This window comes from Homo sapiens, chromosome 12, assembly GCF_000001405.40.
Source record: "Homo sapiens chromosome 12, GRCh38.p14 Primary Assembly".
NCBI classification, from domain to species: domain Eukaryota; kingdom Metazoa; phylum Chordata; class Mammalia; order Primates; family Hominidae; genus Homo; species Homo sapiens.
In genome coordinates this window covers 47,960,399-47,972,966 of record NC_000012.12, presented here as the reverse complement: position 1 = coordinate 47,972,966, position 12,568 = coordinate 47,960,399, and the positions used below count along the sequence as shown (strand labels likewise).

General features: G+C 45.2%; 1 protein-coding gene across 6 annotated transcripts; it reads right to left on the bottom strand.

Moving 5' to 3' along the window:
- On the bottom strand, positions 4,089-9,371 carry TMEM106C (transmembrane protein 106C). 6 transcript variants are annotated; one of them, NM_001143842.2, is made up of 8 exons: positions 9,263-9,371; positions 8,544-8,758; positions 7,622-7,685; positions 6,970-7,129; positions 6,738-6,878; positions 6,235-6,284; positions 5,706-5,759; positions 4,089-4,834 (listed from the first exon to the last, which is right to left on the bottom strand). In NM_001143842.2, the coding sequence occupies exons 2-8, from the start codon at positions 8,728-8,730 to the stop codon at positions 4,738-4,740; spliced, it is 753 nt and encodes a 250-aa protein (NP_001137314.1). In that variant the 5' UTR covers positions 8,731-8,758; positions 9,263-9,371; the 3' UTR covers positions 4,089-4,737. The 6 variants fall into 6 exon arrangements, with proteins under 6 accessions (NP_001137314.1, NP_001137315.1, NP_076961.1 ...); NM_001143843.2 differs by having other exon boundaries at positions 6,795-6,878; NM_024056.4 differs by having other exon boundaries at positions 9,334-9,371.

Genomic DNA, 12,568 nt, shown 5'->3' with positions numbered 1-12,568 from the left:
CATATTGACTTGTGGTTTGTTCTTTAGTTTGTTTTCCATTAATCCTCCGTTCTGTAGGCATGCCCAAATAGCAGTCCTAAGGACTTCTTCTGTTGATTTTTCAACCGAGAGTAAGGACACTGAAGCCACACCGCCAGGGTTAGCAGCCTCACACAAACATGAACTTGCCTCTCTGGTAAACCTTGGCACTATGTGGAACCCACTGTTGAACAGGACCAGAAACCAAAACTTGAGAAGGGAGGTATGCTAGAGGGAGGGCATTGCTCTTGAAGGTAAACACTGAACACAGCTCTATGACACCTTAGTGCCCTGCCAGCTTACGGTGTAAGACCACATGTGGGCTGCATCCTGCTGGATCGGAGACGTGGGAGATACTCCCTCGAGAAAGGAAGAAGACAGGGGAGCAAATCCTGCAGGGGCCCGTGGTTAAGTGCACACGATCAATCTGAGTGATCTATTTGTGTCCCTCTGTAAGACTTTTGGTTGTAGGTCAAGGAGAGGTGGAAATGTGACCTGGCCCACCCATATTCCTCCTGCCCCCGCCACTGTGGCCCCCATTCTTCACTCCCTGGGCCTGCACTTAAAATTTCCACGGACTCTGAACACCAGGCTTAAGAATGGACTGCTTCCCATTTCTTCCTACTCTTGGGTGTCCCTTGCCTTTCAATGACCTGGACAGGTGGCAACAATGAGCAAGTTGTCCCCTTCTCCACGGTGACGGGAACGCGGGAAGTGGGCGGGAGACTCCAAATCAATCAGAGGGCAGTAGCATTCTGTGAAGTAAATTTCCAAATATTTGGCACAACTGATAAAACAGAGAGCTACCCCTTTCTCTATCCCTCTCTCCCATCCCTGCCCCTGCTTCCTCCAGGTTAAGGTTGACAGCTTTTCTATTAAATAGTAAAAATAAATGAGACACTTGTGTTGGATTTGTATATATTAATACTCAATTTATGATATAAATTATCACCAGATAATAATATATGCCTATATATTATTATACAATATAGATAATATATACCTATATATTATTATACAATATAGATAATATATACCTATATATTATTATACAATATAGATAATATATACCTATATATTATTATACAATATAATAATATATACATATATTATTATACAATATAATAATATATACATATATTATTATACAATATAATAATATATACATATATTATTATACAATATAATAATATATACATATATTATTATACAATATAATAATATATACATATATTATACAAATATATACATATATTATTATACAAATAATATATACCTATATATTATTAATGTATACCTATATATTATTAAATAATATATACCTATATATAATATATACCTATATATATACACCTATATATACCTATATATACCTATATATTATTTAATAATATATATAATATATACCTAGGTTTATATATGTATGTATGTATATACACATACATACATATACACCTACAATAATACTATATACCCCACCAGAGCTAGTTCATGACAAAGGAGTAAAATGAAAACATGATCACTGAAAACACATAATTAGAATAGCTATCTCATAAGTTAAACAACCCTTCCACCTACCAAGAGCGCTAATTAGGGTCGGAGGAGAGCAGGTGACGTATATGGGTTCCTAGCTGGAGCTAGAGAGTTGAGCTCTGCTCCAACCTGTCCAACTCCAGAGCCTACTTACTCTTAATGAAGTAGTTCAGTAGATTGTGACCATCAGCTTAGACCTCTGCAAGAGAAGTCCCAGGATCAAGGTGATTCCTTGCAGTTCACCCGCTTCTTGAGTCCCTAGTCAAACTCAGAAATAATAGCAGCTGCTCCCTAGGTAACTGCGGCATGAAGTAGAAGGGAGAGCCCAGGGCAGTGCACGGAAAGCTCTGCCTCTGCCTGCACTAGGGTCAGGTGGAAATCGCCACCCTGGCTGGCAGGTCTGTGCTCCCTGTGCCGCTTCCTTGTCTTCCTTTGGCCCGGAGGGGAAGGTGAGAATAACCAGGATCGTTACTAACTTCTGTGATCCCTGATGCCCCCAGAAAGGAGACAGTCTCACTGGTCAGAACAACTTGTCAGATAAATTCCCAACCCCAGCAGGACTCTGGATAAATTCCACTCAGCAGGACTGAGTGGAAAGACCCAGCTTGCTGATTTTAAGGGGCTGGGCCAGGCTTTCCCTCTCTTGAGCCTCCTCATCTCCATGGAAGTGTCCGGCATCACAGGCTTTGGACGAGGAGTCGGCAGTCTCAGCTCCAGCTAAGACTTACTCTCAAGTCCCTTGGATCCTGTGCAAATCACAGAACTTCTGAAACGGGTTCCCTTCTAAACAACTGAAAGAACACAGAATCTTAAAGGAGTGCTAACCAGGTAATAAAGAATTTTACTTATCAAGGCAAAGAATAAGGATTATTTTGCCCAGAGAAAAGACCTGGGACCCTATTGATTCATGTAGTGCTTTAAACAAATAGGCTGATTCTTTTAATAATTTCTTTCACACTTTGGGCTAGAATCCCTGAGAGATGACCCAGAGATCGTGGAGGTCCTGCACTGAGGTACCTAGGGTTGCAGAATAGTTGGTGGAGATACACTATGGCCTATATAAGGCCTGGTGAGCATAAAAGATTTGTGATAGTGTTTTAAACTCCAGCTATGACTCTAGACAAAATGCATTAGAAATTGCAATCCTAGGCATACAGCAGGTACTCAATAAATACTTTCTAGAATGAGTAAATAAATGAATGGAGATTTCTGTATGCAACAACTCTTCAACCAGGTGATCCGGTATAAGTAGTTTGAGATAAGAAACAGGTCACAGTATAGGCCAAGCCAGAAACTACAGAGAAGAGATAGCTAGCAAAGCCTCTCTCCAAGAAACACACTCTGAAAACTTCAATCCATCGGGAACACAATGGTGATGACAATGACACCAAAGCTAGCCACTTTCTCTTTCTATTCTGGGGTGCTGAGAGAATACTCCAGGCATTTGTTCAAGAATTGACAGACACTACAATAAAGCCCTGTAGAACAACCCAAAGTGCAGTTTGGGATGCTAATAATGTAAACAGATATGGAAATTGATAGTATTATAACGTCAGATTTATTGCTATATGTTTTAAAAATGTAAGTGCTCTCATTCTAATATCATAACTGGATTTTAAGATAATATCAAAAGCAAGAAATGTTACTAAGGCACATGGTCACAAAAAAAAATGTTTCAAAACTGAAGTACCAGTATGAGTATCTTTTTCAAACTTCCATGAAAAATCTGTTACACAGGCTATTTGGAAAACAGGAAAACTAAAGAGCAAATGTAGCAACGTGAACATCTTCATGTGTTTAGGGCATGTTCTGATTAGGGCAGCATGCTCAGAAACGGTGCACATTTGCTTCCGTGTAAGTGGTGATGTCCTATCATCAATCCACATCAGTCATCACTGTCATGTACCTGTGTCACTACATGATCCAGGACAACACCAAAACTTAAGCCTCAGCTTCTGGGTTCCTCCGTTATGGTCGAAGTCAGCCCAACAGTCATGAAATTTAGCTTTAGTTTGAAGATTCAAGACTATACAGATCATTAAGCAAATATTGAAAACCAAGCTATGGGAATGGAGACAAAAACTAATATACAACCCCAGCCACCACCTGTTGTTGTTAGGGTTTCCTGAGGTCCCAGTGCTATGGGAAGAGCTGACTTCTAACACCTGACTACTCAAGCTTCTTAACTAGATTCTCTGCCATCCTGGGGCTGTAGCCTAACCTCTGGTGGCAGAGCAGGTGGAGATGACCCAAGAAACTTACAACCTCAAACCAGGATGTCTTATTCAAGACTGAATTCCAACCTCCATGGGGCACTGAGTGCTCTGTCCTGGAAGGGAACAGGGTAGCCCCCTGCCGCAAGAGGCAGATGGAAGAAAATGAGGCTGCTTGCTGTGACAGGAACTCATGGGAACGGGAGTACAATCAGGGTGCAGTCTCTTTCCTCCTATTCCATCCTGACCCACTTGGAAGGGAACTATTCTACGGTTCCCCCAGAGATCCCTACAAAACACCCAGGCAATCAGAGGAGACACAGATGAATCAAAAGCAGGGTTTATTTTTCTATCAAATCCCCAATCCATGTTCCAGCCAATGGATGAAGGGTGAATCAAGCCCCACATAGACTCTTGGTAAAAACAATTCTAACTTTCTAAAAAAAAAAAAAGCCAACACACTTTTTTCTTTCTTTTCAAAAAGCTCCCAGGCCTTTGGGAACAGCTGAAACAAATTCATATCCTGACTAGGTCTGTTTTCTCTTAGGTATTTGGATGGTCCCTCTCTGCTGCCACTTCTGCACAGATGAGGCACTGATAATGGCCTGCAGGTCACTCACAATCCTAGCTCCACATCACTCCATGGTTTGATAACCTAGAACCACGTTATGATTTCCATTTATAATGCCCTAAGAACAGCTGAAAAGATCTGTATTAAATTCTGCAAATCTTTATTGAGTGCCAACTATTTGCTGGGCACAGGCTAGGCACTGATTCTGCTGGTTCTGAGAAACATAAATGGTACCATAGGGAGGTGTTTCCTCCTAAGTGGCAGGAGGATGTTTGCTGGGAGTTAAGTGAACCAATTCCTCCTCTGCTTACACCACGTGGGGGTAGGTCCAGAACTCAGGCCTTGGGAACATATGCTGTGCTCTCTTCTACAGGCGCTGTGTGGAAGAACCAATAGCAGTTGTTAAATAGCTGTGGAATTTCCTCCACAATCCACATAGTGATGTGTCTCCAAGGAGCTCTGGGTCATGAGGCCAATGTATGAAATCTTCACTGAAGTTCTAGGGAAAAGAAAACCAAGAAGAATTAATTATGTTTGGGGGATGAAATAAGCCAGAAAAATGTCCCAGGAAATTTTTTGCAAGTTCAGAGAACAATACCCACGGGCCCCAGGCACATATCCTCATGGTTATGTAACCAGGAGGCCAGAAGATCTTTCCACTTTCACAGAGATACTGTGCCAGGAGGTGGCCTTCCAAACAAGGCTTCTCAATCGAGAATGATTTTACCCCACAGGAGACTTCTGGCAATGCCTGAAGACATTCTGGGTTGTCACAACTAAGGGATGGAGGGTTTACTACTGGGATCTAGTGGGCAGATGCCAGGAATACTGTTAAACATCCTATAATGCACAGAACAGCCCCCTACAACAAAGGTCTGGCCCAAAATGTTCGTAGTGCCAAGGCTGAGAAACTCTGCTCTAACCCCTCATATTTCATGTCTGCAGCAGAGTCTTGTCACTTGCAAATTTAACAGCCATGCTTCCAGAAAACAACCCTAAAGGTCCATGACATGTGGTAATTTGTGTGGCTAGAGAGGAAGTCTGGTCAAATGCCCAGTACTTAACATCTTGAGAAAGCTTTTCTGTTCATGACTGTCTCATTAGGATTCTGAGGGGATCAAGTGTTTAGTTAAACTAGACCCATTTTATGGAGAAAATGTTTGACTGCTCAGGGTGACTGGTGATTTGTGAAGGGCATGTGGACACTGTGTTTAGAGAACACCAAGGGTCTACTGTATCTGTGCCTGTGAGGCACAGGGTGTCCCCTCGGGCTAGGTGCCTCTGCCCTGTGGTCACACAGGGGCCTCCTGAGCAAAGGTGGTAGGCTCACATGGCCGGACAGGCCATCGGGATAGGGAAGAGAGACGCACCGCATGAAGATCACTATGTTGTGCACCAGGATCTCAGGTACCGTGCAGAAGAAGCTACCAAACAGCAAATATGGAAATAGTCAGTTTTTTTTTTTTTAAAGCCTCAGTAGAAGAGTGCAGAGTTACACTGTCCTGTTTGGGGTGCCCCCCTCCCCCTTCCGACCTAAGTGCTGCCAAGGCTTGTCAGCTCTCAGTCCCTGCCACTGTCATTTTCATCCTCCCACAGCGTCATACCACTTTCTGTTTTTTCAAACCCATCACATAAGTGCTGGAGCTTGGTAACGTTTTTAGTGGCTTAATGTTCTCTTTTAGAAATTCCAGCACTTCTGTCACATATCAAATAATACATTCTTCAAATACACACATAATAATAATACATTCTTCAAATAAATCTCAAGACATCCAAAGCCAGGGAACCTATAAGTCAAAAGCTGAGATCTAAGGCAGGACCAGGCCCCAATCAATGGAGTATGACTTTGAATCCCTTTCCTCCAGTAGAGAGCACACACAGAGAGAACAGTGTCCTTACTACACATAGGAAAACGGTCCTCCCATCTCGGCCTTCCCGGTAAAATTCACCTGAAAATAAGATACCAGAGTTGGTCTGTGGCCAAGCAGGCTTGACACAGAACAGTATTATTATTAGCAATCCAAAGACCTTGGGTCATTCTTCCATCACATGCAAAATACTTCCCTGAGATTGTCCCTAATATAGTCTATGAGCCTCTAATTGATACTGCCAACCTCTTCCCTTTTGAGAGGCCAATGGACCTCAGGCTGTAACACTGCTGCTTCTTATTTTGTAGCAAATCTTTGTCTCTTACAAATTATTCTGCTCCCCAAATGCTTAAATGATAGCTGTTTTTTCTCACAATTATTTATAATTACAGGGCCCAACAGGTCTTCCTCATCACCAGTTCCTACAAGTAGAAATGAGGAGACAAAAAGGAAAGTGACACAGCTATGGCATTCCTACAGCCCCCTACTCTTCTCTTAGGCCTGTGGGGCAAGATTCCTAAAAGAACAGCATACCAGTTGCTCACTCCGAGGTGGAATAAGGGAGACGTTAGTAGTCACATATGTACTGACCACTGTGTTCATGTACTGAATCTGGCTGGACAGGCTGGTCACTGCCACCGTGTAGAAGTTGGAGTTCCTGATTTTCAGGGTGGCCTACATCAGGGCAAGTCAGGAAACAAGTGTAAGTGTCCTGGGTCCCAGCCTGGCAGGTGCACAACCCAGGGAATGAAACCCTAAGGCTTACCATGATGGTGAGAATTACAAGGGAGTCTTGCTTATTAAATGTGACTTTCACCACTTTGATGCCGTCATCATCCACAAGGACTGAATGCGGAAACAGGAAGAAAACCACCAAACCAGATGCCAGGAGACAAAGCAGGATGGACAGGAGGACATATTGCTTACTGCAAATGACACAGCACATGACCGACCCAGGCAGTCAGATATCAAGGTTCAATGTGTCAAGATTAAACACAAAACCAGGAAAGAGAAGGGAGCTGAAAGGGAAGTTCCAAGAGCCAGGAACCATAAACCAGTTAAGAAGCAGTGAAGCAGGAGAAACCTTTTAAAACTCCTTTAAACACTGTTTGCACTCTGGGAAGAAAAGCTGAAGAAAGGAGCTATGTGGACAGAGACAGTCCCACACCTCCCAGAACACTCCACTTTCCCAGTTTCTTCTGATTCCATTCCTTGACCTTCAAAGCATTTCCAGCTTCAAGTTTCTTTCCCCAGATTGTGATGGGGGCAGAGATATCTTGCTTGGGCAAACAGTTATAAGGAAAATGGGGAACTTATAAGAACATGTGTAGTTTTCAAAGAATTAACTGGCATTCATACATACAGAAAGAGATTAGGGACAGAAGTAGGTATTAACAGGTGAGAAGCAGGTAACTCACGTTCGCTGAGGGCGCAATCTCTGATCACTGTGTGGGATCAAAGCCACCAACTCATTTACTTGCTCTAGAAAAGAGCCAAACAATTATTTTGTAAATCCCATGTGTTGGCAGTACTTCCTTCACGTCTCACTTGAGCCTGCCACAACAAATATTCTTCTGGAATGAGACATTTTAAAAAATACTAGTGAAATTCACATGTTGGGTCTAATGAACAAGAAACAAGAGAGTGCCACAAATTATAAAACATCTATCAGTGCTGCCAGGGTAGTGATGTGGAAGTTGAAAAACCTGGGATCCTGTTCTGGCTTTACTGCATGGGCTTGGCAGAGTCGTCGAATCTCTCAAGGCCATGGTTTCCTTGCCTTTCATATGGAAGCTTTGGAGTAAATGATTTTGAAGGTCCTAACCAGCTCTAAATTTCTGTGACTCTCCAGCTAAACTGTTAAAGACTTTCTGAGGGCCAATTTGTTAATAGTAATAGATGATCCTGTACCAAGGCTAAGTATTTGTCTCTCTCTCTTGACCTGATATATTTTTCTGACCTTAGGCTGTTAAGGATTAGCTACCCATTTCCTTGAAAAGCAGCTTCCAAGATGGTTCCCCCGCAAAGCTGTCCCAATCCTTGTGACAGCGATAAAGAAATGTGCCTGTCAACAAATCCCACAACACAGAGCGAACTGAATGTTCCAAACCTCAGGAAAAGAACAAGAGTGGCGGTAAAGAAAAGAAAGGGTTGGAAAAATAAGGAGAGGAAGAGAAGTTGCAGAACTGCCCAAGTGTATTAAGTCAGTTGAGCTGGCTCCTGTCCAGGGCACTGTCTCTATTATGGTATTACTGCCTAGAAGAAAAGTTGTCTGGGCAGACAGGAGAACTCCGAGGGTACCTTGGGATTCTCATCAGGGAATCATCCCTCCATGATCACCTGTTGGAATGTAGCCTGTCCCCTGGCACGTGAGACAGGTGATGCTATCTCTCCCGGTGAATTCCACATATGGGAACTGAGCAATGGCTTCTTCCTGCTCTCGTTCAGCCAGCAAACCGTCCCTGTCATCTTCTTGCTTTCGCCTGCAGGAGGAGGGGCGAGCAGCAGCGGAATGCTGAGACCCCATGGCCGTGATATGCCACTGGTGTCATGTCCTAAGATGAAAAGAGGGAGTGCACGTTAGCGGCCCCAGTGAATCACGACAGAAATCGCTTGTTTCTATAAGAAAATTAAAAACGCAAAAATGACAAGTTGCCGCCCTGAGTGTGGTCCCAACACCTGTACGATTTCTATCGGGACCCTCATTTTGTAGTAGTGCTACCCACTCTCCTCTTACCCGCCACACACAGCCGGCGGGGGTGGGGAGGGGGAACGGGGCCTGCCTTTCACGCACCTGCCTCGATCCTCACCGCCCTGGGACTTGGGGCACCCCCGCTCCCACCTGGTCCAGCCTCGCCCCTTCCTCTTCACTATTTGTAAGCTCTATGCCCCTCCTCGAGCAACAAACAGGCACCAAATTGATAACCGGCCTTAACGATTCCCATTCCTCTCCACCCCCCAGCCCCAGGAGGCGGGCTCAGGTCACGCCCCTTGGCAAAAAGCGATGCTCTGAGCCCACCAAAGTGGCCCAGGCAGGAGCGAACGCCAGCGTCGCAGACCTGCAGGGCACGAACTCCCGGCAGCTCCTCTCCGGCCGCTCCCCCGACCACCTGCCAGCTTGAGGACTTACCAGCCTCTTCGGTCGGCGGAGCGGCACGCACTCAGCGCGCAGGCGCCAAATACCAAGCCCGCCAGGAGAACGCGGGCGCGCGCTCGCGCGTGCGCTCTTCGCGGCTCCGGAGGCCTTCCCAATATCGCAGCTGTCTGGCTCCCTCGGTTCCGGTAGAGGGCGGCAGAGAGCGCCGGGGAGCCGCGACCCTTGCTGTTGGGCCGCGGTAGTCCGCGGAGTCGGGATGATGCTCTGCTGTTCGCTAGATAGGCTGGGAAAGGCTCCAGTCAAGTTTCCAGAGCAAAACACTTCTCTGCTGCGAGAGGAGGAAGGTGCTGCCGGCTACCGAAGCCATTCTGAAATATTCTTTATAGTACAGGAGCTGTGTAGTCGCTGAGGGTACACACATGCGGAGCATTCGGATAAACTGCCTTTGCAAAAATTGTAAGTGAGAAAATTATGACAGTGAAAGAGATCTGACTTACCCAGTTCCGTCTTGCTTCTAACCTCCGAACTGCCCTTGTTCATTCCTGGGTATAGGCCAAACTAACTTTGGGAGGAATTTAGTTTATAGTTGAACTTCGAAGCAAAGATAACAGCCCTTCCCCAAAACAAACCCCCTTCTTGCCTGGGGACCAGACTGCCTTTGTAAGACTAACAAATTAGCCACAAGATTAGAAATTATGGTTTAGGAGTCATCCAGACAGAGGTCACAAGATTCCAAACCTTCCCTATTGCTCCAAGGGATAACATCACTATTGTAAAATCTAAGATCGGTGCTGGGGATATTTTTCAGACCCTGCATTCTGAGGCACCAGCTGGCAGTACCTAGACCAGTTATCTGGCTCAGCCAGTTCTGCAATCCCACCCAGGAACAGAAAACAGCAAGAAGAACCCACTTAGACCCCCCTATGATTTCATCTCCAACCTGACCAATCAGCACTCCCCACTGCCTGATACCTACCAGCCGAATTATCCTTAAAAAACCCCAGTCTCTGAATTATCGGGGAGACTTATTTGAGTGATAAAACTCTGGTATCTCATTCAGCCGGCTCTGCATGAATTAAAATCTCCATTGCAATTCCCCTGTCTTGATGAATCAGCTCTGGGCAACGGGCAAGGAGAACCCGTCCGGCAATTATATCAGAACCTGTCTTCAGTCCAGGAGGGGAACCCAGAGGCTTCATCAGACCCCTCCAATACTGTAGATAAAAGTGCTGCTGGAAGTCTCACAAGTCAGAGGGGCCCAGCCTGGGGGAAACCTTCCATGGGGAGTCCTGCTGGCTTCTCGCAGGAACGGACCCCACAGCTGAGCTTTGCAAGCCAATTAGGTGCCAAGAGGCACCAAGGAGTAGATTCATTCGGTAGTAGGGCCCCCCCTTCCCCAGACCTCCACAAAAAAGGCACGTACGTAAGAGGTTAGAAAGCACTTTTCGTTCGTTTGTTTGTTTGTTCGTTTGTTTTGAGATGGAGTCTTGCTCTGTCGACCAGGCTGGAGTACAGTGGCACAGTCTCAGCTCACTGCAACCTCCGCCTCCCGGGTTCAAGCGATTCTCCTGCCTCAGCCTCACAAGTAGCTGGGATTACAGGCGCACACCTCCACACCTGGCTAATTTTTGTATTTTTAGTGGAGACCGGGTCTCACCATGTTGACCAGGCTGGCCTCAAACCCCTGACCTCAGGTGATCTGCCCACCTTGGCCTCTCAAAGTGCTGGGATTACAGGCGTGAGCCACTGTGCCCGGCCTAGAGGGTACTTTTTAATGGGTGGGTTTCTTTGTTCATACTGCCAGGTTGAGCTTAGCCTGCAGCAGCAGGAGTTGAGTACAGACATTAACCAGGTGAAATTATTAAAGATGATGCTAGGGGAGAGGAGATATTCTGAAATGGGATGAATAAGGGGCCCACTTGGCAATAGAGAGTGAGGCTGAGGCTGGTGACCCCTCAGGTTTCTGCCACCTCTGTATTTTCCTCTTTCTCCTGTGGGGAATGCCAATGTACCTGCTGTTGTCTAGCCATCTGCCTGACCACTGGCCACAATCAGCCCACTGAGTCTTTAGTAAGAGGCAACAAGGACCCTCTACTTCCCCTCTCACATCTCTGATCCACCTCTTCTCCTTCTTGAAATGTTTTTTTTTTTTTCATCTGTTGGGTCACAGAAAACGATTCCCCAAAATATGGTGTTTGAGCATACGGAGTGCTTTTGAGAATTAAAAGAAAACAAGCCTCAGAATCAAGGTACCTCTAACCTTGTCTTGTTCCTCCGCTCAACCCCAAGCATAGGGGAAGACTCTCTCTGGAATTTCCTTGTCTCACCAAGAAAGCTTTTTTTTTTTTTTTTTGAGACAGGGTTTTGCTCTGTCGTCCAGGATCAAGTACAGTGGTGCCATCACAGCTCACTGAAGCCTCAAATTCTGGGGCTCAAGCAGTCCTCTGTGAAACAAAAATAAAGCTAAGTCTTCTCTACCCCCAGCCATCTGCATGGACCCCTCCTCTCAGCCAAGGGCATTCCAAAGTTAACCTGAAAAACTAGTTCAGGCCATGATGGGAAGGGGGAGTCAGACATGCCTCACTACCGTTGTGAAAGAAAAATAAATTTCAGGACCCCCAAATCATGAAGTCAAGGGAAAAGTCAAGCTGGAGACTATGTCAGGCAATTCTGCCTCCCATTTTATTTCTAAATAAGGTAGCTACAAAGATCAAAATTACATATCCCCCTCACAATTTGCCCACAAGGAATTTCCTTGTGGACAAAGGACAGACATGACTCAAAGTCATCTTTCTGAGGCTCACCTGAGACAAATGTGTATTCGATTGCCTCCTCTGCCCTACGGTGTATGTAAAAATGCAGGTGTACTGAGCCAGACTAAATTGTGTATTCAATGGAAGGCGGATGTAGGACTCAAAAGAATGCAACCTTTTTTCTCTTATCTATTTCTGACCTGAAAGACCCCCACCTCGGCACCCTTCGAGTTGTCCCGCCTTACTGGACCCAACCAATGCACATCTTACACATAATTATTGATGTCTCATGTTTCCCTAAAATGTTTAAAAGCAAGCTGTACCTGACTACCTTGGGCACATGTCGTTAGGACCTCCTGAGGCTGTGTCACAGGAATGTCCTTAACCTTGTCAAAATAAACTCCTAAATTAATTGAGACTTATCTCTGATACTTTTTTGGATGATACCTCCCACGTCAACCTCCCAAGTAGTTGGGACCATAGGTGTGCACCACCACGCCGGGCTAATTTTTAAA

Excerpts from the sequence above, each read along its gene's own strand:
- TMEM106C (NM_001143842.2), bottom strand. The coding sequence starts at position 8,730 with ATGGGGTCTCAGCATTCCGCTGCTGCTCGCCCCTCCTCCTGCAGGCGA. Across the intron at positions 6,285-6,737 it reads CACCTCGGAGTGAGCAACTG|GTGAATTTTACCGGGAAGGC; the intron begins GTATGCTGTTCT and ends TCTTATTTTCAG. Across the intron at positions 5,760-6,234 it reads GGACCGTTTTCCTATGTGTA|CTTCTTCTGCACGGTACCTG; the intron begins GTAAGGACACTG and ends GCTGTTTGGTAG.